This window comes from Homo sapiens, chromosome 1, assembly GCF_000001405.40.
Source record: "Homo sapiens chromosome 1, GRCh38.p14 Primary Assembly".
NCBI classification, from domain to species: domain Eukaryota; kingdom Metazoa; phylum Chordata; class Mammalia; order Primates; family Hominidae; genus Homo; species Homo sapiens.
The window spans coordinates 181,118,919-181,143,887 of NC_000001.11; the positions used below are offsets into that span (position 1 = coordinate 181,118,919).

The 24,969-nt window shown below is 50.8% G+C and overlaps 14 annotated features.

The window, feature by feature from the left end:
- Positions 9,934–10,033: an enhancer, noted in NCBI's record as "active region_2175". NCBI's record gives its function as "activates an Ori minimal core promoter by ATAC-STARR-seq in GM12878 lymphoblastoid cells {active_cell/tissue: GM12878}" and the evidence as "EXISTENCE:reporter gene assay evidence [ECO:0000049][PMID:35858748]".
- Positions 11,344–11,423: an enhancer, noted in NCBI's record as "active region_2176". NCBI's record gives its function as "activates an Ori minimal core promoter by ATAC-STARR-seq in GM12878 lymphoblastoid cells {active_cell/tissue: GM12878}" and the evidence as "EXISTENCE:reporter gene assay evidence [ECO:0000049][PMID:35858748]".
- Positions 11,674–11,783: an enhancer, noted in NCBI's record as "active region_2177". NCBI's record gives its function as "activates an Ori minimal core promoter by ATAC-STARR-seq in GM12878 lymphoblastoid cells {active_cell/tissue: GM12878}" and the evidence as "EXISTENCE:reporter gene assay evidence [ECO:0000049][PMID:35858748]".
- Positions 12,993–13,172: an enhancer, noted in NCBI's record as "active region_2178". NCBI's record gives its function as "activates an Ori minimal core promoter by ATAC-STARR-seq in GM12878 lymphoblastoid cells {active_cell/tissue: GM12878}" and the evidence as "EXISTENCE:reporter gene assay evidence [ECO:0000049][PMID:35858748]".
- Positions 13,203–13,252: an enhancer, noted in NCBI's record as "active region_2179". NCBI's record gives its function as "activates an Ori minimal core promoter by ATAC-STARR-seq in GM12878 lymphoblastoid cells {active_cell/tissue: GM12878}" and the evidence as "EXISTENCE:reporter gene assay evidence [ECO:0000049][PMID:35858748]".
- Positions 15,649–16,848: an enhancer, noted in NCBI's record as "MED14-independent group 3 enhancer chr1:181103703-181104902 (GRCh37/hg19 assembly coordinates)". NCBI's record gives its function as "activates an origin of replication core promoter dependent on BRD2, BRD4, P300/CBP and CDK7 cofactors, and independent of MED14, by STARR-seq in HCT116 cells {active_cell/tissue: HCT116}" and the evidence as "EXISTENCE:reporter gene assay evidence [ECO:0000049][PMID:35650434]".
- Positions 16,016–16,435: an enhancer, noted in NCBI's record as "active region_2180". NCBI's record gives its function as "activates an Ori minimal core promoter by ATAC-STARR-seq in GM12878 lymphoblastoid cells {active_cell/tissue: GM12878}" and the evidence as "EXISTENCE:reporter gene assay evidence [ECO:0000049][PMID:35858748]".
- Positions 16,143–16,726: an enhancer, noted in NCBI's record as "H3K27ac-H3K4me1 hESC enhancer chr1:181104197-181104780 (GRCh37/hg19 assembly coordinates)". NCBI's record gives its function as "activates a minimal SCP1, AML or CMV promoter by ChIP-STARR-seq in naive and primed H9 embryonic stem cells {active_cell/tissue: H9 hESC(naive and primed)}" and the evidence as "EXISTENCE:reporter gene assay evidence [ECO:0000049][PMID:30033119]".
- Positions 17,046–17,095: an enhancer, noted in NCBI's record as "active region_2181". NCBI's record gives its function as "activates an Ori minimal core promoter by ATAC-STARR-seq in GM12878 lymphoblastoid cells {active_cell/tissue: GM12878}" and the evidence as "EXISTENCE:reporter gene assay evidence [ECO:0000049][PMID:35858748]".
- Positions 22,204–22,704: an enhancer, noted in NCBI's record as "H3K4me1 hESC enhancer chr1:181110258-181110758 (GRCh37/hg19 assembly coordinates)". NCBI's record gives its function as "activates a minimal SCP1, AML or CMV promoter by ChIP-STARR-seq in naive and primed H9 embryonic stem cells {active_cell/tissue: H9 hESC(naive and primed)}" and the evidence as "EXISTENCE:reporter gene assay evidence [ECO:0000049][PMID:30033119]".
- Positions 22,204–23,205: a biological region, named in NCBI's record as "H3K4me1 hESC enhancers GRCh37_chr1:181110258-181110758 and GRCh37_chr1:181110759-181111259". NCBI's record gives its function as "regulatory_interactions: IER5".
- Positions 22,509–23,058: a transcriptional cis regulatory region, noted in NCBI's record as "candidate enhancer chr1.10177 targeted for multiplex CRISPR interference". NCBI's record gives its function as "positively regulates IER5 gene expression with high confidence in K562 cells {active_cell/tissue: K562}" and the evidence as "EXISTENCE:mutant phenotype evidence [ECO:0000015][PMID:30612741]".
- Positions 22,614–22,693: an enhancer, noted in NCBI's record as "active region_2182". NCBI's record gives its function as "activates an Ori minimal core promoter by ATAC-STARR-seq in GM12878 lymphoblastoid cells {active_cell/tissue: GM12878}" and the evidence as "EXISTENCE:reporter gene assay evidence [ECO:0000049][PMID:35858748]".
- Positions 22,705–23,205: an enhancer, noted in NCBI's record as "H3K4me1 hESC enhancer chr1:181110759-181111259 (GRCh37/hg19 assembly coordinates)". NCBI's record gives its function as "activates a minimal SCP1, AML or CMV promoter by ChIP-STARR-seq in primed H9 embryonic stem cells {active_cell/tissue: H9 hESC(primed)}" and the evidence as "EXISTENCE:reporter gene assay evidence [ECO:0000049][PMID:30033119]".

Here is a 24,969-nt window from a genome sequence, read left to right on the forward strand (position 1 = left end):
GAGTTGCCTTGATTTATTGATGAAGGGGATGTGACTTGGAGGTTAGTAACCCAAATCGTATCTATTCAAGGACCTAATGCATTGTTTTAGGCATGACTTGGGAATCTACTCCCAAGACACTCGGTCTCTTTGTCATAAGTTCGGGCAGGTGTGGAGTTGGGAAGGAGGAGAAGGAAGCAGCAGGGACTTTGGTCCTGGATCCTGTTCACCATGACCCAGCATGACGTTTTCCTATTGAGTTTTGAGGAGTGCATCTACTCTGCTTACCTGGCAAGAGACTCTAGCTCAGAAGCAGAAACCAAACACACAGGCATGAAAACCCAACAAACCTTCCTTGACCATGTACTCAGATTGGCAGGTGCTAGGGGCTAGGAGGAAAATCAGGACCTGTAGGACCCAGTTCCTGCCCTCAGGGAGCTCACAGTCTACCAGGGAGGTGTCACATGTACTACTGCAATTAGAGGTCATTTTTCTTCCTGGGAATGAGTGTCTCACAGCAGCCAGAGGTTGAGGCTTTGTCTTAAGGTGGAGGTAATAAAAACCTGTTTGTTTTCCCAGAGCAAGACTTGCCTCAGGGCCCCTGCTTGTTTGAGACAGGGCATTCAGTTTGCCTGAGTCAGGCTGGGGAGGTTCTTCTAGTCTTTGGAATCCTGTTGGGCAGGGTGGCTGCAGGGGATCTGGAAGAGGTAAGGCCTGTCCCAGGGGTGGGGGCTGAGGAGGTGGACATGAAGAACTCCCTGGATTAGGACAGTGGCCCAGGAGGGGAAAAGAGATGTTTGGGTGGTAAGAAAAACAGAACGAGAGAGTAGGAGCAGCTGGCCACCCAGCAACCCTGACCACAGTCCTCTCCACCTAGCTGGAACGGCGTGTGATGAAAAGAACCAAGCTGCCCACACACTCGTGGTGACAGCACTTTAACACAGAAATATCCATGATCACAGTCATCTTCAGATTCAACCAATATTCATGGAGTTCCCACCGTGTGCCAGCTAAGAGGCTTGGTGCTTTTCCACAGCTATCTTCTTTAGCCCACATTCTCTCAATAATTCTATGAAGTAGGTGGCTCACTCCTGTAATCCCAGCACTTTGGGAGGGCGAGGCAGGCAGATCACTTGAGGTCAGGAGTTCGAGACCAGCTTGGCCAATGTGGTGAAACCCCATCCATCTGTACCAAAATTACAAAAATTAGTCAGGTGTGGTGGCACATGACTGCACTTCCAGCTACTCAGGAGGCAGAGGCACAAGAATCGCTTGAACCTGGGAGGCGGAGGTTGCAGTGAACCGAGATTGTGCCATTGCACTCTAGCCTGGATGACAGAGTGAGACTCTGGCTCAAAAATAATAATTCTATGAAGTAGGTAGCAGCCTCATTTTACAGATAAGAAAACAGAACTGTGGAGGCCTAAGAGTACACAGTGAATACTCACCAGATTTGGGTTTGAACTCATCCTGCTGGCAGGTTCTATGGGACACCACCTAGATGTCCTTTAAGTATTTATTTATTTATTTATTTATTTATTTATTTATTGAGATGGAGTCTTGCTCTGTCACCCAGGCTGGGGTGCAGTGGCGTGATCTTGGCTCCCTACAATCTCTGCCTCCCGGGTTCAAGCGATTCTCCCACCTCAGCCTCCTGAGTAGCTGGGATTACAGGTACCCGCAATCATGCTCGGCTAATTTTTGTGTGTGTGTATTTTTGTGGAGACGGGGTGAGCCTCAGGTGATCCACCCGCCTCGGCCTTCCAAAGTGCTGGGATTACAGGTGTGAACCACCACGCCCGGCCTCCTTTAAGTATTTCAAATTCATTTTATCTAAAACCAAGTTCACTGCTCTTGACTCCTCCAGGGTTCCCTTGTCTCAGTAAATAGTCTCAGTGCAGCTGCCTGGAATGTGGATGTTTTCCTAGATACTTCCCTTTCTCTTGCTCCTACTCTCTAGGTCTGTTTCTCTTACCACTTAAACATCTCTTTTCCCCTCCTGGGCCACTGTCCTAATCCAGGCTTGAATCATGTATCAGCCTGGTTATCAGAATGGCCTCTAGCCTGGGCTCCCTGCCTGGAGCCTCCCCACCCTCTCCCATCCACATTGCTGCTGCAGGTACCTCTCTGTCAAGATAAATGCAAACCCATTATGTTCGTTGAAGGGCCCTTCTGGACTGGACCCTGATTGTTTGCAGTGCCACATCTCCTATCCAATCTTCCTGCACATTACTGTCCCCCAGGCAGGTGACCTGTGTGTGGTTTCCCGAGTGTGCCACACCTCTTGTCTGCCACATGCTTTGCTCAAGCTGTTCTTTCTCTCTGGCCTCCCTTGTTCTCACCCATCTCTGCTCATCCCCCCAACTTCTATTTGTGTCTTCCAACCTAGCCCCAGTTTCACCCCTTTGTGTTAGCATTTCCAGATGCCCCAGGTGGAGGTATTGCCCCTCGCTTCTGCTACCTGTCCCCAGAACAGACCGTGGGGCTCTGCTGACCAGAATTGGAGTTTTGGATGCTTGGCAACTGTAGTCATTGTTTGACAAATGAACAGCCTTAGAAAATAGTGTTTTAAGTCGAGGAGACACTGCAACATAAAATAAATTTTAGAAAACTATGTATATCTTGTGTAGTTCATTATTCAAAGGAAGAGAGTTAGCATTTGTTGAAGCCTACTACACTCTATGCCGGCCCTTTACATGTGTTATGTCACTTAACCCACAATGCTAGGACTGAGGCACAGAAAGCCTAGATGGCAGACCCACAGTCACTCCGCGGTTATGGGCCACACCTAGGGATCAAGTCCAGGCGAATTATCTGCTCCTTCCCTGCCTCCTCTGGCCTCTCCTATTTACAGGCAGGCTATCCAGTGTGGGGATTCTTTTCTTAGCTATCTGGAGGCCTATCAGGACTGTGACAAGGGAGTAGACAAGGGATAGGGGACCAGGACAAGAGGATCAGTGATGCCCAAGTCCCCACAACTCGATGTGTTTTCTTTTTTCTTTTTGAGACAGAATTTCGCTCTGTTTCCCAGGCTGGAGTGCGGTGGTATGATCTCGGTTCACTGCAACCTCTGCTTCCTGGGTTCAAGCGATTTTCCTGCCTCAGCCTCCTGAGTAGCTGGGACCTCAGGCATGTGCTACCATGCCCAGCTAATATTTGTATTTTTAGTAGAGACAGGGTTTCACCATGTTGGCCAGGCTGGTCTTGAACTCCTGGCCTCAAATGATCCTCTCACCTTGGCCTCCCAAAGTGCTGGGATTACAGACAGGAGCTACTGTGCCTGGTCTTGTGGTGCGTTTTCATCACACCTTACTGTGTCTCTCCAGAGGCACAATTCCTACGGTAGGATTGTCACAAAGTGGCCTGAAGGCTGACAGCATTGTGACTCCACGACCAGGCACATTGGGCCTATGCCCCCGTGGCCCATTTCAGCATGGAGAGAAGCAGAAACAGAGCTGGGCCCCGGGTTTTCCCAGGAGCCTGGAGCAGGGCCCTCCCCTCCCTGTCTCCTTGCTCAGCAGTGTGCTTGGTGCCAGCTGGTGCCCAGCACAGGACTATTGCATGAATGAAGGAATGATTGGGTGCATTCCAGAATGCCATGCTTCTCAGGAAGGAGGAGAAGGGAGTGCTCTCCCTTGTTCTTGGGTGTCTTTCCTAAGGTCAGGAGAATTTCTACCATCATCCAATTCCTAGCGCTCTCTCCATGCTCCCCTCCTTCTCTTCTCCCTTCCTTGGCCCCTTTTCTAGTCTCTTACCTGGGAGATGAACATATTATTTTACTTTTGCTGGCTTTGGGATCCCCTAGAGAATGATCCATTCAACACTTATTCACCAAACACTTATCGGGTGCCTTCTCTGTGCTTGCCAAGTGTGAGGCTCTATAGGTAGAAAAAGAATGAGGAAATGCACCTGACCCCCAGGAGCTCATGCACAGGGGGCAGCCTGACAAGGCAATGGGTTACAATGGCATTTGACTGGAGGTGAGTGCAGTGAGGGACACCAGGAAGACTTGGATGGATGGGACTCAGGGAAGGCATCCTGGAGAAGATGAGAGCTGAGCCGAGGCCTGAGCACTTGCATGACCCTGGGAGTGAGTGCCCCCTTACACTTTGTGTCCTTAGTCCCAGCTCTGGTCCTGAGGATGGGTTGGAGTTGGTGGGGGAAAGGGGAAGACAGTGATGGGGAACAGCTGGGAAGTGCCTTCCAGGTAAGGGAAGCAGCTTGTGGCAGAGGCCTGAAGTGAGCCCCATGGTTCCTTCATGTCCACCCCTCTGGAGGGGGCGCCGTGTGTCTGGGACAGCTGCTAGTTAGTGCCTGTACCTCATCAGTCACACCCAAGAGCCAGACCATTGTCCCCACCCCCCTTGTTACCAGTACTCTTTTTGGGGAGAGAAGGTAGCTCAAGGTGGCAAGGGACTGGCTGTTGTGGGCTCTGACAGCTTCTCAGCCTGTCTACCAGAGTAATAAAATAACTGACACTTAGTGCTCACCGTGAGTCAGGCACTGTTCTGAACAAGCACCTTACATGCATGAACTCACCTAGTTCTATGAGGATGGTGCTATTACTATCATCCCAACTTTACAGATGCAGACACTGAGGCACAGAATGGTGGAGTAACTTGTCCAAGGTCATACAAGCAGAGCCTGGATTCAAACTCAGGCAGTGCAGTCCCAGAGCCCATGCACCTAACCACTATACTGCTTTTCCTAATACTGCTGAAAAACAGGAGAGAGTAAATGCCCTTTGGGCAATTTGTAGTAAGTACTACAGGTGTAAAATGTATGAAAAACTCACATCTTATCTTAAAAACTCACGTTCATTGTGACCGGGCACAGTGGCTCACACCTGTAATTCCCAGCACTTTGGGAGGCTGAGGCAGGAGGATCGCTTGAGCCCAGGAATTCGAGACCAGCCTGGGCAACATGGCAAAACCCCATCTCTACAAAAAAATATAAAAATTTGGGCGTGATGGTGCATGCCTGTAATCCCAGCTACTTGGGAGGCTGAGGTGGAGGATCACCTGAGCCCAGAAGTTGAGGCTGCAGTGAGCTGTGATGGTGCCACTGCACTCCAGCCTGGGCCACAGAGTGAGGCCCTGTCTCAAAAAAAAAAAAAAAAAAAAAAAAAAAAAGTCATGTACGTTTTGCATCTATGGCAAAACAAAATCTCTGTTTAATAAAAATACCTTCCACCAAATAATCAAGTAGAATCGGTGCTTCAGAGAGATGTGGCCCATGTCTTCTGAGGCACTGAGTATCCTCAGACAGTCTGCAGCAGGGAGAGCCCAGCCAAGCACAGCTTTCAGAACAGGAGGGGCTCAGACCAGGCTGCAGGAGGTGGGAAGAAGGGACTTGAGTTTTCACATGGGTGCTAGATTGCTTTCCACCCTACATCTTCTCACCCTATTTATACTAGTGTCTCTCTGAAGTCAGAGTGCATGCTAGGAACATGGACAGAGACTTCCCCATGTGACCATCAGTGTGAAGGACTTCTGTCAATGGACTACTCCCATGTTATGGTCACTGGGCTGCCTTGTTGGTGGCTGCTGTTTCTCCTCCTCCCCTTCCCTGCTTCCCCTTTCCTTCCTCCCCCATCTCTTCCTCCCCTTCTCCTCCTCCTCCTCTTCCTCCCCCTCCTCCTTCGTTGTTCCTCCTCCTCCTTCCTCGTTCCTCTTCCTCCTCCTCCTTCCTCTTCCTCCCTCCTCCTCCTCCTTCTGCTTTGTTTTCTTCTGGAGGAGGCCTCCCTAAGAGTCATGTTAGCCCACACACATGAGATCAGACTCTGGGGAACCTATTCCATTTTAGCTGCAGCATTTAGTTCTTTCCAGTTTTCTAATTCCTCTTTTTTTTTTTTTTTTTTTTAGTTCTAGTGTTTGCTTATGTTGAGCCACTGCAGAAAACCCCCCTTGAGTGGGCTTAAAAAATAACAGCCACCACTACAAAACCCAACATTTTTATTATTTCTTTACCCTCCCAGTTTCCAAATAGTTCCCTCTTTTGGGGCACACATTGACCATCTTTCTTCTGTCCCAGACACGAGGTGCACTGTCGCATGGCTGACTGTGAGGCTCAGTGGGGCCATTTCTGTTGAACATATTGCAGGTGAAACTGCCCCAGCTTTCTTCTCCTCTGATGTCTTTCAGCCCCATCATCTCTGAGGTCTCCTTAGGGAGACCTCCTCATTCATTCATCCAGTGGATAATTATTGAGCACTTACTATTGGCCAGGTGCTGTTCCAGGCACAAGGGTGCCATGGAAAGCATGATAAAATTGTCTTGTGAAGCTTACATTGGTCAATGGAGACAGACAAACACCCAAGATGTAAATAAATTTAAAAGGTTCAGATAGTTATAAATGCTATGAAGAAAATAAAATAAAGTAATATACGGAGCAACAAGAGGAAAGGAGAAGAAACATCAAGTGCCAAGATCCCAGAGTAGGAAAAGACTTCAAGAATGGAAGGGGTATCAGGGACAGCGGGGAGGGGGAAGGGACAGATCACACAGGCCTTATATGCCATGGGGAGGAGTTTGATTTTATTTTTTGTGCAGCAGGGGAGCAACATGATCACTTCATGAGAAGGACCATCCTGGCTGTTGTGGAAAATGGATGGTTGTGACCAAGAGTGAGAACAGGGAGACCAGTTGGGAGGCCATTATAGTCACCCAGGCCTCGGCTGTGGTGGCTTGGAAGGTGCCCCCTTGGATGGGGGCAACAAAGAGGGTGAGAAATAGATTTGAGGTAGATTTATTTTATTTTATTTTTTTGAGATGGAGTCTCACTCTATTGCTCAAGCTGGAGTACAGTGGCGCGATCTCTGCTCACTGCAACCTCTGCCTCCTGGGTTCAAGCCATTCTCCTTTCTCAGCCTCCTGAGTAGCTGGGATTACAGGCGGCGCCACCACACTGGCTAATTTTTGTATTTTTTTTTTTTTTGAGACGGAGTCTCACTCTGTCGCCCAGGCTGGAGTGCAGTGGCGCGATCTCTGCTCACTGCAAGCTCCGCCTCCTAGGTTCATGCCATTCTCCTGCCTCAGCCTCCTGAGTAGCTGGGACTACAGGCACCTGCCACCATGCCCGGCTAATTTTTTGTATTTTTTTTTTTTTTTAGTAAAGATGGGGTTTCACCATGTTAGCCAGGATGGTCTCGATCTCATGACCTTGTGATCCGCCTGCCTTGGCCTCCCAAAGTGCTGGGATTACAGGCGTGAGCCACTGTGCGGCCTAATTTTTGTATTTTTAGTAAAGACAGGGTTTTGCCATGTTGGTCAGGCTGGTCTTGAACTCCTGATCGCTGGTAATCCACCTGCCTTGGCTTCCCAAAGTGCTGGGATTACAGGCATGAGCCACCACGCCTGGCCTGAGGTAGATTTTAGAGGCAGACACAGTGGAGTAGAAAATGCTCTTGTCTGGGACCCAGAAGTCCTGGGATTAAATCCTGAGTTCACCACTCATCAGATGTGGGAGCTTATACAGATGGCCTAATGCTTCAGTCCCCTCATGTATAAAATAAAGATACCGGCACCTACCTCCCAGTTTCTCAAGAAGGGGAGCTGAGGAAGGCAGATGTGCCCAGCATGGTGCCTGTGAAACAGGGCCTCCGCCAAGTTGCTTAGCGAGAATGAGTGTGGGTTTGAGTGTACTCCAGAGAGGTAGCTAGGCACTCCAGGCATTTCCTGGAACTCACTTGTCCTCTGTTAAAAAGGTGGAAAGGAAAGATTGTCACCCAGGCTATTGGGAGTGGGCGCATCTTCCAGGTAACTCAAAGTCAACTCTGAGTAAACAGGTAAGGGTGTATTTGGAAGCCACTCATTGCCTTTTAAATTGGGACATGGGTTTTAGGTGAGGGTTGGGAAATGCCTAGGGCTGGCAGGAGAGAATGGCCTGAGGGGCTCATGGCGGCTGGGCCAGGCAGGAGGGCTTGAACCTGGGGGCGGGCCTGTTGCATCCAGAGGGGCAGCTGGTAGAGGTGGCTCTGGAAATACGGGCTCTGGCAGATGATGGAAGGAAGACTGGGGAACAGTTTGATGGACTGATAGGTTTCCAGAGACTCTCAGCCAGCCTGGATAGTGACCTTTTGCAGGTGGAGCTGGTCAGTTTTGAGGCCTTTCCGTGGAAGTTCTGAAAGCAGAGGTCCCGCCCCTGGAAATCCCCCAGCCTACGCCGGCTTGTTGTTGTCCTGCAGCCCTGTGGGAGCTGCCTGACCCTGGGGCAGGGTGCACGGACTTAGATTAAGGCCAGAACCAAAGGTCAGCTTAACTGGAGTAGTATCCATGGGCTATGCCCCTTTCTTTTTAGCTCTCTGAAGTGTGGATGCTGCAGCATCAGGTTTCTGAAGGGCAGGAAAGGGGAGCTGACGTCAGCAGAGCACCTATGGAGCACCTGGCACTGTGCCAAGCAGCCTAGACTCCTCATGACACATGGGTAAAGCAAACATTATTATCTCCATTTTTTTTTTTAATAGTAGGAAACTGAGGCTCCAAGGGTTGGAAGTAGCTTTTCCCATGTCACGTGACTGGTACTGGGAACTCGAGTCTGCCCTGCTTCACAGCTCTTGTTCCTGCACAAGTGTCTCCGGAGAGGCTGGGGTACATCAGAACCTCCAGAGGAGGGGACTTGGGAGCTTGATGTTTAAAAAAGCAACACAGGCATGTGCAATGGAGAACTGAATTGGAAGCTTCTGCCTGTGGCTTTTTTTTTTTTTTTTTTTTTTTTGAGATGGAGTCTTGTTCTGTCGCCTAGGCTGGAGTGCAGTGGTGGAATCTTGGCTCACTGCAACCTCTGCCTCCCAGGATCAAGCAATTCTCCTTCCTTAGCCTCCTGCGTAGCTGGGATTACAGGCATGTGCCACCACACTCAGCTAATTTTTTTGTATTTTTAGTAGAGACGGGGTTTTACCATGTTGGCCAGGCTGGTCTCAAACTCCTGAACTTATGTGATTTGCCTGCCTTGGCCACCCAAAGTGCTGGGATTACAGGCATGAGCCACCGCGCCTGGCCTGCCTGTGGCTTTATTGAAGGCCTTAGTGGGGACATTGTTAGGTGCCTGCTTTTGCAACACCACCTTAGCAGGACTTACAGAATCTTAACTGGAAAAGAAACTTTAAACTGTATTAACTAGGCCGGGCACCGTGACTCATATCTGTAATCCCAGCATTTTGAGAGGCCAAGGTGGTGGTTGTGGTGGGGCTGGGGGGGTCATTTGAGCTCAGCCTGGGCAACACAGTAAGATCCTGTCTCACTATGGGCAGGGTGGTGCGTGCCTATAGACCTAATCACTTGTGGGGCTGAGGTGGGAGGATCGCTTGAACCCTGGAATAAACTGTGTTAACTGACTTTCCAGCTATGATGCCTGGGGAAGTCATTTAACCTCTCTTAGCCTCAGTTTTCTTGTCTGTACAATAGGGATCAAAATGTTTACCCTGCAGAACTCTTGAAGGATTAGGGATGTTATAGGAAATGACTTAGCATAATGCCTGGCCCAGCTAACCACTGAATGAATGGTAGCTGTTAACATTAACCAATGCGTCATTAAATCTTCTTTTTTGTGAGGGGACTGGGGGATTGTTGGCTCCCCTGTGGTCTGCTCACCCATTGCTGAGGCCCCCTCCTTGGCACAGCCTGTTCCATAGAAAGAGCAGACTGCCAGCCACTCCTCTCCTTCTTCCTGAGGAAGCCCAGTGTCCCCACGGGCCATCGGACCCTTGCCCCTGGCGCTTGAGGCTTGGACACATGGTGACACCCTCTGCTTTTCAGCTGGCAAGCGTGCTCCCTCTCCAGGCTGGCCCCAGGGCAGGCCGGGCAGGGGGAGCTGGCCTCGTACTGGGGATGCTGGTCCTCTGCCCTGCTCCTCTGCCAGCTGGGCGGCTGGGCCCGGCAGCAGCTTGGACTAGCTTGAAGGCCCAGCAGGGGCCTCTGTGGGCGGCAGCCTCCCTGAGCCCCTCTTTTAGCACCGGGCCATCTGGTGCCTCTGTCCCCTTTTGTGTGCCTGCGGGGAGAGGAGGGGAAGTGAAGGGGGAGGAGACAGGAGATCTCTCTGGCCAGCTTTCTTCTGAATTGAGGAGAAGGAGGAGTTTGAGACAGAGGGGAGCAGGGCCTGGGAAAGAGGTGGAGGGGACTCTAGGCTTGGGACTTAGGAGGAAAGGAGGAGGGAGACATGAGAGATGGGGGGGAGAAAGAAAGCCCAGAAGGAACGGACGCTCTAGGATCCTGGGTACGAGAGCTCAAAGGGAGAAGAGAGCAGAGAGAGCAAGCCAGAACCAGAATGCTGTGTGGAGAGGAAAGGGAGTGCTGCAGAAGAGGGAAGAAAAGCACTCAGGAAAGAACGATGTCCAGGAGTTGAAAGGGGTGCAAGACTCTCTCCAAGTACAATGTGTTAAGTTGGTGCCTTATTTCTGTTCTTGGAAAGAGGAAGTGAGAGTGTGTGGGTCGGATGCCCTTCCCTGGTCAGGCTGAGGGTCAAAGGGAGGGGCGGCTGAGACCTGCAGCGTGAATTTCCGCAGAGCAGCCTGGGGCCCAGCCTGGCCCTGCCCAGTGGCCATGCAGGTTGGTTCCCAGTCATGGCAGGCACCAACTGCGGACTCCCTAGGGGTGGGAAGAAAACGTCTCCTACTAATACCCCTTTGATGGGGTTCACCTGGGGAGTAAAAATGCATTACTGAGGGCATTAGAGGCATGACTTTAAAGAATGTCACGTTTGGGATTTTACAGGCTTTGAAGCACCTGTCCCCTGCCGGATGGCAGAACATCCCGTGTCTTCCATCAGGTCCCAATGGCGTGGCATGAATGATGCAGACACAGGAATAACAATAAAAGCATGTGGCTTTGTGCTTCTCTGGTGCCATGTTCATTTGGGCTCACGGTCTGCATTTGGTGTAGTCACAGAGGACACAGAGAATGGGCTATTTTCTCTGCTGAGGACAATACAGACTGGACTTGGGTTGAATGCCTGCCTTTCCCTGGCTCTGTTCCTGGAGCCCGCTCAGAGTTGAGCTCCTCTCCCTGCTGAGTTCTTCCAGGCAGTGGCCCCCTCCCTCTACACTCTGGCCCTGAGGTGTGGTTAGCCCAAAATCTGCCAAGTCATCTGCATAAGGCCTTATCAGGGTCTGTCTTCCAGTCCCATCTGGAAAGTACTGTCCTTGAAGTGGGAAATCTTTGCAAATGAACGCACGACTGAGGCACTGGGAGAGCACACTAGGCATGAGAAAGTTGAGTGTGACTGATTTAGTGCATGTAGGTCCATTTAACATCAACCAAGTGTCAAGATTTTTTTCTTCCACCATTAAGTTCACTTGAAGATCACAGGCTGGCAGCTCTAGGAAGCACTTTGCAGCTCCAGTGCTGGTGTGGGGGTGCTCCATCCTGCCTCAAAATGTCCCTGCAGTGGTTCAGCCCTGCTGGGCTCTGGAGGAGAATGTGCCTTAGACATGCTCCCCGAGGAGCCATGGGGAGCAGGGCAGGCCACGGGGGAAGCAATTGCTGCCAGCGGGGCACGCTCACCTTGAGGAAGGGCAGGCTGCGGCTCAGAAGATCCCTGAGCAAGGTCACCAGATGTGGCCAGCGGACAGCTGACAGCAAGCAGAGATCTTGGGAGATGTCTGTTCGTGTGCATCTGCAGACAGGCTCACAGCTGAGCCACCTGAAGAAGGGCTAGAGATGACTTGCAGCAACTGCTGTGTATCGAGCACTTACGACGTGCAGGGCTTTGCACGGCAGGTGGTCCCAATCAGTCCTTGCAGCACCCTTGAGAAGGATGAAGAAGCCGTGGCCCAGAGAGGCTAAGGGACTTGCCCACCATCACACAGCCAATAAGGGGCGAAACTGCTCTCCAAACTGTGGCCAGGGGTCAACAAAGGCTGGGCCTGAAGGAGTGCAGTGGAGGAGGGGCACAGCTGGTGGGGGTGTCAGGGAGGGTTGCATGGAGGAGGCCTTGAAGAATGAGCAGGACATTGACTCTTGGAAGGGTGATATTTCTTCCAAATGGAGAAAATAGCAGGCACCAAAGCACAGGGCCTATTTTGGGATCTGAGAAAAGGGCAGATTGTGGAGTGCTGTTTGGAAGAGTCAGGCCAGGGAGGCATGTTGTCCATTTGTGGAGTCTTTTTTTTTTTTCCATTCTCCATTTATTCATTTATTTATTTATTTATTTATTTATTTATTTATTTATTTATTTATTTGAGATGAGGTCTCACTATGTTGCCCAGGCTGGCCTTGAACTCCTGGGATGCGGTGATCCTCCCACCTCAGTCTTGCTAGTAGCAGGGATTACAGACCTGTGCCACATCACCTGGTTCATTGTATGAAGTCTTAATGCCACTCGGGGAGGCTGTATTTTCTTTATAGGGGTGGGGTCTGATGATGGTTTTGATGAGGGAAGTCCCATGGGTGGGCCTGTCCTGGCAGTGGCCTGAGGGGTTGGAATGCAGGGGAACAAAGAGCAGCAGGGCTGAGGCAGAAAAGCACTGTGGGGGCACAAAGATGGAGGGGTGGTGAGGAGGCCGCATCTACAGGGACACTGGGTGGGGACAGGGGATGAGTGGGTGAGAGTCGGGGCCTGAGAGGATTCAAAAGTGACTGAAATGATGATGGAGGGGTTATTTATAGAAATGGGGAAGTCACAGAGAGAAGGTGCCTTTGAGTCGGGGAGGGGACGGGAAGAAGAAGGAGGGAGTGGATTTTTATTTTGAACCTGGTGGTTGTCAGTGGTTTGCTGGACCTTCGGGGGGGCCAACAGTGAACAGCAGGGGCTCCCTGATAATCAACCCTAAAACCTTGTCTGGAACATGTTCAGCTTCTTCCTTGCCCACCCTCCTCCCACCCCGCCAGGTGCTGAGCTCACCCTTTGTGATTCTTGGCCTTACATTCTGCACCTCCCAGTGGCACTGGAACCTTGGATGCCCCGGGGAGCTGCAGGGCCCCAGTGACCAGCTGGTGCTGAGGGTCAGAGACTGCGACTGTGCAGGCCATGTCTGCAGGTGCTCCCCTGTGCAAGGCCTCCAGGGGTGGGGGTGTCCCTCAGACCTTCAGGGAAGTTGCTGATAAAGAATTTCCTTAGAGGGGGTAAGTCCCCCTCCCAGACCCAGCAAGGCCTTCTCTCTGTTTCCCCGGAAAAACCTCTTCCATCCTTCCGAAGCTCCAGGCCTTGTGGGTGTGACAGCGTGCCTGGATCCAGAGGCAGCAGGGGAAGGGGGAGACATTTTGGTTCAAGGGGCCATGGCAAAGGCACTGCCTGGCAGATGGAGGAGGGAGCTTCCTGCTGCTGGAGTGGCCGTCCTGGCTGTGAGTATCCTGTCCCCTCCACCCACCTGTTCACCTCCTTTTTTTTTTTTTTGAGATGGAGTCTCACTCTGTTGCCCAGGCTGGAGTGCAGTGGCGTAATCTCGACTCACTGCAAGCTCTGCCTCCTGGGTTCACACCATTCTCCTGCCTCAGCCTCCCGAGTAGCTGGGATTACAGGCGCCTGCCACCACGCCCAGGTAATTTTTGTATTTTTTTTTTGAGACAGAGTCTTGCTCTGTTGCCCAGGCTGGAGTGCAGTGGCTCGGCTCACTGCAAGCTGCGCCTCCCGGGTTCACGCCATTCTCCTGCCTCAGCCTCCCCGGCAGCTGGGACTACAGGCACACGCTGCCACGCCCGGCTAATTTTTGTATTTTTAGTAGAGACGGGGTTTCACTGTGTTAGCCAGATGGTCTCGATCTCCTGACCTTGTGATCTGCCTGCCTTGGCCTCCCAAAGTGCTGGGATTACAGGTGTGAGCCACTGCGCCCAGCCTAATTTTTGTATTTTTAGTAGAGACGGGGTTTCACCATGTTGGGCCAGGCTGGTCTCAAACTCCTGACCTCAGGTGATCCACCCAACCTTGGCCTCCCAAAGTGCTGGGATTACAGGTGTGAGCCACCACACCCGGTCTTCCCTCCTCTTTTCAAACACTCTACTGGTACAGGGGAAAAACTTTTTGAACTCAAATTTTGGACTTGAATTAATTCCAATTCTAGGAAGAAGCAAATGGGAGTGTAAATAAGATTCATTCATTCATTTTCTCACCCAAGAAGTGTGTATATTGTGTCTACTCCATGTCGGATAAATGATAGCTAAGCTAAAATCCCCCCCACCCCAGAAGAGGTAAGAGTTGGGAGGTACAGACACGTAAACAGGCAAGAACAGTATAGGAGCAGCCCATGACCCAGATTTGGGGAGCTTGGGGGTGCCTCTGCAGAGAAAATATTGCCTCAGCTGAGACCTGAGGTAGGTAGGAAACTGACCCAGGCAGGGGGAAAGGGACAACAGTGATCTCTGCAATGAGAACAGCAGGAGCAAAGGCCTGGATGAGACAGCATCCCCACCTCACTAAGGCACTAGAAGATCATCAGCTTAAGGAAACCAGCGATTCTAAAGACGCCTGCCCAGTAGGTCTCAACCCTGGCTGCACATTAGAATTACCTGGAAGCTTGAAAAAAATGCAGCAGTCTAGTCCCCCATCCCTAGAGGTTCTGATTCCCTGGGTCTGGGGAAGGTCATGGACACTGGCATTTAAAAAGTTCCCAAGCTCCCCATATGAGGCTAACCTGCAGCCTGGGCTGAGGACGCTACCACTGGTTTGTTTACTGAGGTTTGCTAATTACAGGCTGGTCTTATTCAAGGGAGTGAGGGGTTGAAGCTGCTGAGTATAGTGGGAAGAAGGGAACAGCAGGTCTTTAAAATGAGTCTGCTTTGCATCCCTGAACTGACTGAGCCAGTGGCACTCTCTACAGAGAGCCAGCTTCTCCCCATTTCCCCTCCTCTCCATCTCTTTGTTCCCACTGCCACCACCTTGTGCTGGCCCCTTGCCTCTCCAGGGATCGCCCAACCAGGCCCCTGCTGCTCAGGCAGTCAGCATGACCTTGACCCAAGGCACAGACAGGTTCCTGCGGCTCCTGGCCTGGATGGGATACGCCCACCTCCCACAGGCTCCTGAGAGAGCACATGGCCGTAATCCTCCAGCCTCACACCTGCTACCCCTCGCTTCACAACTTCTTCTACCCTGAGAAACCCCACACTTGTCATTCCCTCCCCACCTTCATTTCCCTTCCTGGAATGTCCTCTCTGCCTTCTCTACCTGAATTCCCTGTGTTCCTTCAAGAGGCTCAGGCGACAGACCCTGTAGGTGAATTCAGTGCATTCTCTGCACACCCAGCCCGCACTGCCTGCCCACATGCCTGCGTGGGAATGGTTAAGACCAGATTTCTCCAGCAGCCTTCAGCCTTTGCTTCCCAGGCCTAGTGGCCCCCAGCACAGAGCAGGCGCTCAGGGAAGGTGAATTAATGAGTGCAGCTGAGGTAAGGGCAGCGGCCAGGGCCTGCCTGCAGATATTCATGCCATTTGGGCTGCTCTCCTGTTTTGAAATGAGGAAATTGTGGGCCGGGCGTGGTGGCTCACGCCTGTAATCTCAGCACTTTGGGAGGCCAAGGCGGGCAGATCACCTGAGGTCGGGAGTTCGAGAACAGCCTGACCAACATGGAGAAACCCCGTCTCCACTAAAAATACAAAATTAGCTGGCGTGGTGGCGCATGCCTGTAATCCCAGCTACTTGGGAGGCTGAGGCAGGAGAATTGCTTGAACCCAGGAGGCAGAGGTTGCAGTGAGCCGAGATCGTGCCATTGCACTCCAGCCTGGGTGACAAGAGTGAAACTCCGTCTCAAAAAAAAAAAAAAAAAAAAGAGGAAATTGTGGTTCCCCCAGAAGAAGAGAGACTTGTCAAAGGTCATTCTGTAAATGACAGAGTTGGCATTTATTAAGTCTCAGGTTTGAGATTGTTGCCTCCAGGGTTTTTCCGGCTTTGTGTTGACAATGCCAGATTTTCAAGGCGGGGTGGAGGAGCGTGGGAATTAGGGGAAGCTGCTATGTGACCCGCATCTTTCCTCTGTCTTCCACCCAAGTGTCCTTGTGCCCCCAGCTACTTTCTCCAATTTGCCTGATTTCATCCTGGGTGTTTTGTGTTTGGCTTTCACTACTGACTTCTCCTGTGGGCCCCCTGACAGTGACCGTGACTCTTAAACAGCCTTGTGGTTTCACAGTGCCATCCCTGCCAGGCGCTAGTTTCTTCAGAGCCTTGGTCCCCCAGCTTGGGAGCCTGGGGATGGGTGTGCCCCATGGGAGGGGCAGGCAAGGACAGAGAGCAGCGAGACTGTAGTGGGGTGTTTCTGCCTGTGTGTCCCTGGGTGTCTGCATCTGCGTGGCAGCAGCCCAGCATGAGGCTGAGGGTGAGGGAGGCATGCCCGGGCATGTCTGCTGGGGCAGGCTGGCCAGGTTCCTGAGAAGACCAAGGAGATCCTTGGGAGAGGTGACTGGATCTGAGGCATGGAGAGAACGCCCGAGTCGGGAGGGAGGCGAGCCGGAGCAGGGATGGGTATTGATGAGGAGGCTGTAATGGGGGTGGCTGGTAGTAGTGGTGGGTAGCATTTATTGACTACTTACCAGATGCCTGGCACTGGGCTTAGGTCTTTTACATATATTGGATCGTTTAGTCCTTAGAACAACACCATGAAGTGAGATTTATCTCCGCTTTTCAGATTTTACATTTTGCAGTTTACAGATAAGGAAACTGAGGCTCACGTCACCAGTCATCATTGGAGTCCCTGCCTGTCTGAGCCTCTGACTACTGTCCTCTCTGGAGAACTTGAGAGCCCTTGTGGGGACATCTGGAACTGCTGGGTGGGGTTCTAGGGGTGGGGGAGCTGCAGCGGTGTGGTTCAGAGCCAGGCAAATATGGATTTCTATTGTTTTTGTGTCTCAGACTGGCAGGGTCTAAGAAGCCTTGGGTAACTTTTATAGATCTTTAAAAAACTGAATTGTTTTCACCCTGGATTCCAAGATAATAAACTTTCTTTAGCCTTTGTTCATAAGGAGGTGCAGCTTTCTCTAAAAGACTCCTTCAGAATGCTGCCTGTGATGGCTCCTCTGGGCCATACTACTACGAACCGGCATAAAAACTACAGCTCAAACCCTCCTGGGTCAAATTACAGAAGAAAACAATTCCTGGAGTGTCATAGTTGGCCACAAGCTGAACATGAGTAAGCAGCAGAGATGCTGATTTATAAGAAAAAGCTGATTTGTGACAGTGTGATCTGCAAAAGAGGGAACTGTCCTCCGCCTGCAATTTGTGTAAGGCCGAGTGACTTCCTCTGAGTTGTTCCCAAGGCTTTATTTCTAGACCGCTTGTTAGGAACGCAGAACCCCTTGCCTTGCAGAATTACTGTGGGAATGGAGGCACAGTTCTGAAGCTAGCTTGGAAATGCCCACCTATAGCTCAGAACCTCATATTTATGAGAAAACAATAGGAGAAAGCAATTCAGCTGTGATGTGCAGCTGATTTTCACCATTCCTTTGCTATGACCAGGAAATGCCCCATTGGACACTTTGTGAAGGGAGCGATGATGTCATGGCCAGAGGCACAGCTTCTTTTAATATTCAGGTTGTTAGTATTTGGCGAAGCCTGCCTCTTTCCACCCCCAACCCCTACTGGATTTTTCTGGAAGGCTTTTAGCTCTTCCCTCAATTGTGCGCACGTGTGCACACACACACAGAGACACACACACGGACATACCCCCCACAGACAGACACAAACATATCATATACATAGAGACACACACACAGACACACTACACACATAGACACACCACACACACAAAGACACACCACAGACACACAGACACTCCACACACAGACACACCACAGACACACAGACACACCACACACATACCACACAGATAGACACACCACACAGACACACCACAGACACACAGACACACCACACACACAGACACACCACAGACACACAGACACACCACACACACAGACATACGCCACACACACAGACACACATCACACACAGACACACCACAGACACATAGACACACCACACACAGAGACATACGCCACACACACAGACACACATCACACACAGACACACCACAGACACATAGACACACCACACACACACAGAGACACGGAGCACGCACACAGACAGCGGGGCCTGCCTTGAGCAGCTCCTCACCTCTGTGGATGCGTGACCACTTCCCTCACCCCAGTGTCTCTGACTCCCAGGGTGAGATGCTCCTTCACACACTGTCCTAAAGTCTGACAACAACAATATGCCAATGGTTAGTCCTGCCTCCAAAATACACCTCCCTTCAGATTGTATTTCCATCCTTCTAGGGCCTTCCGTCTTCTTCGCCAACCCCGAGTCATTGCTTCTCATCCACACAAGGTGATCACCTATGGGACTCTTTGTTTTTGAGATGAAGTCTTGTTCTGTCACCCAGGCTGGAGTGCAGTGGCGTGATCTCAACTCACTGCAACCTCTGCCTCCCGGGTTCAAGCAATTCTCTGCCTCAGCCTCCTGAGTAGCTGGGATTACAGGCACACAGCACCACGCCTGGCTAATTTTTGCATTTTTGCATTTTTAGTAGAGTCAGGGTTTCACCATGTTGGCCAGGCTGGTCGTGAACCCCTTGACCGCCTCGGCCTCCCACAGTGCTGGGATTACAGGCGTGAGCCACCACACCCCACCCGCCTATGGGACTCTTGATTCCCCACTGGCACCCCTGCGCCGACCCCAGGTTCCATTCCCCTCTTGGTAGCTGGAGTGAGCGCTGAACTGTCTGTCAGGCCATGCTGCTTCCCAGCCTTGAGAGTGAAACCCCCGGCTTTGAGCCTGTCCCTGTCCCTCTGCTCCTCCTGCTTCTCGCCTCCTTTCTCTTTTCTCTGCCACCACATTGCCCTGGGCTGCCTGAAGACATCCAGCTCCTTCCTGGCTCTGGGCTCCTTCTGTGGCTGTCCTGAGACTGTAGGATGCACCTGTCAGGTGTAGTTTAAATCTTGGCCTCCACCTCAGAGACATCTTTCTTGATGTCCCTTCCTAAAGTGGCCTCCCTCTACTCTCTTGGCTGATCCCATTTGTTCCTTCAGAGAACAAAAAAACAATCCACAGTGCTCTGTTTTTTCATGTGTGTCCTTTTACATTGTGTCTCCTCCACCAGAATGTAATTTTGGAAGCCTGTTAATAGTTATAGTTGCAGAGTCCAGAACAGTGCTTGACTGTGAGGCTGTTCATAAATGTTTGTTGAATGAAGCACATTGAAGAGATTGATGACAAAATGCTCCCATGGTCGGGAAGCGTTATGGCGTGAAGGGATTTTGGGAGGTGGATGCTATAGAACCTGCCAAGTCGTGCTGGTTGGTGACTGACTCAAAGTGGAGGACAAGCAGAGTTGTGTGAGGGCCTTAGTGGTTAGAGGGCCCTGCTGGGTTTGGTGAGGATGAGCTTTAGAAGCCCAATCCCTGGAGTCAGTGTCCAGGATGGACATGCCATTGGGGATGATGCTTCCAGGAGGATCACAGGGGAGGTATAGCCATTGGTGGAGACCTTGCTGCATCTACGCTTATTTTATTTTTCATTTATTGTTATTTTTTTGAGACAGGGTCTCACTTTGTTGCCCAGGCTGGAGTACAGTGGTATGATCATAGCTCACTGCAGCCTCAAACTCCTGTGCTCAAGCGATCCTCCTTCCTCAGCCTCCTCAGTAGCTGGGACTACAGGTACATGCACAACCATGCCCAGCTAACTTTTAATTTTTTTGTAGAGATGGGGTCTCACTATGTTGCCAGGGCTGCATCTATGCTTGTAATAAATTGGGCTATGTGGTTTAAACACAAACAAACCCCACTTTCCCACCCATCTTAAGTGGGTTGAGAGTAATGTGGCTGGGGTGAAAATAATCACAGTTTAATTGGTTTTAAATATGCTAATGCCTGTGTTGAAAACACGGTGATGTGAGCAGATGCCGGCACACCTTTGGAGGTGTGACCTTTGTGCCACATGGTGGGATGACTAATGAGTGAAAGAGAATCCCCTAAAATAAGTTAGGGGTATGTTTATGAAGAGTCAAGTAGAGTCCTGGGAGAAACAGATTCAGGACACGTGAAGGACTTGGTGGTAAAGGGAGAGGAACGTATGAATATAAGAGGCAAAAAGAGCAAGTTCTTTAGATGTTTGTCTAGGGCCGTGAGAAAGAAGTCAAGTATTATCTCTGAGATATTAAAACAATGGATTTTCACTCTCAGTAATCAAGTGCTCCTATTCACTGAATCAACGGGTTTAGTGGCTTTAGGGAAGCCCCAGACATCCTAGAACAGAGAAGCCTTCCTCAGTTTTGTGTTTCAAACCAGATTTTAAAAAGTCCATAGCAAGCTAATAGTCAATAATTTTGAGAGCCTGGTTAATAAGAGGGATATATTTTTTCTACTTTCCAAGAAGATCCCTTCTGTAAATCCAGAGCAGAGCTGGGGGGATCTGAGCATGGCTTGATGTGTGAAGCCACAGTGGAGAGAACAGAGGATTCCACACAAAGGAAGTGCCTGCCCCACAGGAAGGAAGAAAAACCCAGCTGGTGCTGGGAGAGGCTTGGAGGGAGATTGACACAATGAGGGAGCAGGGTACCATGCTGTGTGCCCCACCCACCACCCATGAACTAAGGGTAGGGGCAAGGTGGTAGAAACAGCCTACATAGGTAGATAGGAGGTAGAAAGTAGAGGGGCCTGCCGCCTACTTCCCATTTGGATATCTGGGAAGAGAGTCCCTTGCAGGTGTCTGCAGGGCAGCCCCGGCATGGTGGAAATGCTGGCAAATTGTGTCCTGTCAGAGGAAGGGCTGAGACAGTGGCCCTTGCTTCTCCACGACCTGCATGAAGGTGTATCCGCGACTTCCCAGGTGCCTCCTGCGGGGCATAAGGAGGCTGGGAATTAAGAGCCAGCATGCTGCAGAGGTGGGCCTAGGAGGCCCCATGGCTGAGCCTCAGAGTGGACAACCAGAGCAGGGCCAGAGGGAGGATGTGGCTGGGCCCTAGAGGGTCAGCAGTGCCAGGGAGCACTGAGGAGAGGCCCGGGCAGCAGGGGGCTGGTCAGACCATACAAGAGCATGTTCAGGCCATTGCCTAACCCGAGAGAACAGGTTATAAACATCTCAAACCCAGCCGCACAGGGGCAGGAAAGGGTGTGGCTTAGGGACAGCATATGGGAAAGGCATTTAAGGGTTTTCATTCATAATAAGGTCAAAATGAGTCCCCAGTGTATTAAGATCTGTAAATAAATGAACAAGTTACAGTCTCCTCAGTGGAACCTGCTCCCATTCTTCTCAGGGCTGGTCAGCTCCCTTCCGGAGAATTACAGTCATGCTGGGTCTCCCTTCGAGACTGAACAGACAAACCAGACCCCCATACAGAGGAGAGTGGGGAGAAACCTCCACATAAGAGCAGCTTGCAAGGACTTGAGAACACACAGTCTGGTGAAAGAGAATTTAGGGGTGACACTGCTTAGGTTCTGTATGTTCCCAAGAGGAGACCCAATGCATGGATGTTATAGGGAGAGAGTTCAGCTCCAAAACCACTAGAACCATCTAATAATTCTAAACCGGCATGGGCTGAACCAGGACACTTCCTGGATATGGAGCATCCAAGCAGAAGCCAGAACACTGCTATGCAGGAGAGGCAGATGTCTGCCGGGTCATGGACCTGGACAACCTTCAACATTTCTTCCAACCTTAAGATTTTGTGAATCGCTGAATGAAATTCTAATTTTAAAGTTTCTGACTCAGAGGCAGAGGAGGCTCCTATTTTGAGTCAGAGTACCCAAATGCAAAGATCCCAGCTCCTTGGAGACAGACGGACCTGGCTTCTGAGACTGGCTTTGTCACTCACTAGTTGTGTGCCCTGGAGAACTTCCTTTCCCTTTCTGAATTGCAGTGTTCTCAGCTGGAAGATGGAGATATTTACCTGGCAGGGTGTTGTTGGCATTAAGTGAATCAATGTAGTAAACATGGCCAATTGTGTGTGTGCACACGTGTGTGTGTGTATGTGTGTGTGTGTGTTAGTGGGGGTAGGAGGAGTATAGGATGTTTGCCATGCTAGAAAATCGTATTATTGCCTACTGGTTAATTTTCTTTTTCCTAAGACCAGCTTACAGAGCAATGGAACACTGAGTTTAATGAAAAGATGAAACAGATGCTGATGTGGTGTGGACAGATACTGGTTTGAATCCTCTTAGCAGAGAAGGGAAAGTTCTGATATGGGGAAGATGGGGGAGGCACCTGTGACTATGCTGGAGGAAAGGGCAAGAGGAAGTCACCCCCTGAGGGCCACAGGTGGATACCCTCTGGTGCTGTACCTGGGCTTCTGGCCATGGGATGAGTTGAGCTGTGTGGTGCTCACTGTCTTTCCGGAAAGGAATGGGCCTGGACCGATCTGCCTCCCCCCATGACTATCTGCAGGTGACACCAGATCTGCAGTGACCTTCAGCTATGAAGTGGGCACAGGTTTCCTTTTAGCCCTCCCCACCTCGGCTTTCTGCACTTGTTCCTGCCAGCCCCCACTCCCTCTTACTTCATTCCTAATTCCTTCCTCCATCACATTTTTTCCCTTAGAAGCTCATGTACATAAGGAGGTATGAAGGACTGGTAAAGCTACAAGCCCGACCTCTACCAGGGATGCTTGCATTTCAACTCTCAGCCACTGCCATTCTCCACTGGGGGCCTCTCTCCCACAGTGTGAGAGTGTGGGTGGGCGTGGTGCAGCTGGCACCATGCTGATGTCTGTCTCTTTGCAAAGCTGACCTACCCTGGGTCAGGTCCTGGCTGCCTTGAGTACTGGGAGAGGGTGGTGAAAAACAGGCCCAAAGCTCTGTGGGGAGCAGCCCCTTCTCCCCTGGCCTTTGGCTAGGAGGAAGTGAGTGGGTCCTGCCTTGGGGCCTCCACTTCCGGGGCCTCGAGGGCTGAGGCTGACTCGATGATTCCTGGAAGGTGATGATGTCATGGTGACATAGCAGTTCCCCTCCCCAGCCAAAGTCAATAGGAGAGTGGGTGATGAGTGTCTCTCATTGGCACAGAGGCCCGAGGCTCTCAGGAATGACCAAGTCCACTGGCTTGTCCAGGCCACTTAACACCACATTCATCAATAGCTCCCTTCCTCAAATTCCTACAGCTCTGATCATCTGTCCCTTCGGCGATCCCATATTCTGGACTTCCAGGGCAGGCTTGATTGATTTTAAACGTTCTGCCCCTTTGTTTTTCCACGTCAACAAATTCACAAATCATAGAAATTCATCCCAGGTTGGCCTGTGCATCCTGGGGCTTTGGGGACACGGAGCCACCAGGCTTTCTCAGAAACAGAGCATGATCATGTGTACCCTTGCATCCCAGCTTCACATCTGCATGTCTTTTCAACAATATTAATAGCTTCTTTAGAATCAGCATCTGTGTCTGTTTCTTTTGTTTTCTCCAGGACTCCTCGAAGGGGCTGAGTGTGTGGGAAAATCTAAAAATGCTTATGGGGAGGGGGAGGTTAAGCTCCCCTTCTTGTCCTTGTCAAGGGCTCTCTCCCACTACTTCACTGGGGGTGAAAGGCGCATCCGCAACAAGGGCCCCGTGAGTTCATAAGGAGATGTCTTCTGCTTCTCTCACCCGTGCTTATTAAAAGGTAACCTAGTCCCGGTGTGGGTTTGGGAAAAACGCTGCTGGACTTGCGCGGGTCGGGGTTGCTTTTGGATAGCCACTCCCTGCACTCTTGTTTACCAAAGACCTGACTCTCTGACAGACTGCGTCAGACCCGCATGGAGTAAAATGGATCCTTTGTCAGCTGGAGTCTGAATTGAAACGCCTTCTCTGCGGCCCTCCCCAGACCGACCCCAGCGTTTTACAAGGGAGCCCTGGCGTTGCCTTACGCTGCCCGATGCTGCCCCCTGCAGGCGGCTCGCAGACACAGCCCGCTCCGCTGGGTGTGGAGGCTCAGCCTGTCCCACACAAATGGGTTTTCATCACCTAGAGTTGTCAGAGCAGCTAATAGCGCATGAACAGGAAGAAAATTAGGCTTCTCTAAGTGAATTGGGTGTTGAAAGACACTGAGATAAATGGTGGAGGCAGTGAGAATGACTGATGGTGTTTCAAGTCTGAAGTAATAAGTTGGGGAGGTGAGGGTTGGGGGTGGGAGGAGAAGGAACTAGTGTTTACAGTGACCATGTGATTTAAATCTGGGCTCACAACAGCCTCAGAGGCAAATGCTCTGAACTCCTGTTTAATGGATGGTGAAGTCGAGTCTTAGAGAAAAATTAAATAACTGCCCAAGATTATACAGCAATAAATGGCAGACCCAGGACTTGAACTCAGTGACCCCAGGCCTCTGTGACATCTGCTGTCCCGCCACCCCACCATAAGAGATCATCGTCCTGCCTGGAGGAAGATCCCTTTGTTTATGGGATGAACTGGGTTTTTTGGAATGAAGGGGAAACTTCAACAGGGAATTCTCTTCACTAAGACAGTTTGTAGCTGTAGCCTCTGTCATGTGATATGAGGGGTGTTTGGCAGATCTCCCTGCCTGAAAACATCTCCCCAACTTGCTCATCACATTGCCTGGAATTTTGCTAAAAGAGAGTCCTTCCTTTGATTAAGATTGGCTAAGTGGTACTCCTGTTAAATGAAAATGCAATTCCTGTGGGGGAGTCACAGGTTAAACCTTTAAATCTTAATTCAACCTCAGTGGAGATTAGCTCATCAGGTTGCTTCATCCCTGTGATAGAGAATGAAGGGTGTGGGGAAATTGGAGGACAGGGGGTGTGCCAAAATCTAATTTTATTACTAAATGTCTCAGAGACTCCTCAAACTGTACCAAATGAAACTCTTTATCTTCTCTCCCACACTCTCCCTTCTTGGACATTAAACAGGCTCAGAAATCCCTGCAGTGTCCCTCTCTCCTCCATCTGATGGTCACTGGGTCCTCCCCAGCCTGCCTCTGAAGTGGTGCCTGAATCTCCACCGTGCACCCTCACTCTGTGGTGTGCTCAGGCCCTCGTCAGTGTGTTTCTGCCCCTGAGACTTTACCCTTTAATCAAACCTCAGTGCAGCAGCAAATGAGAGCTTTTGAAAACATGAATCGGAGGATGCTGCATTTCCTCCTAAAATCTTCCTCAG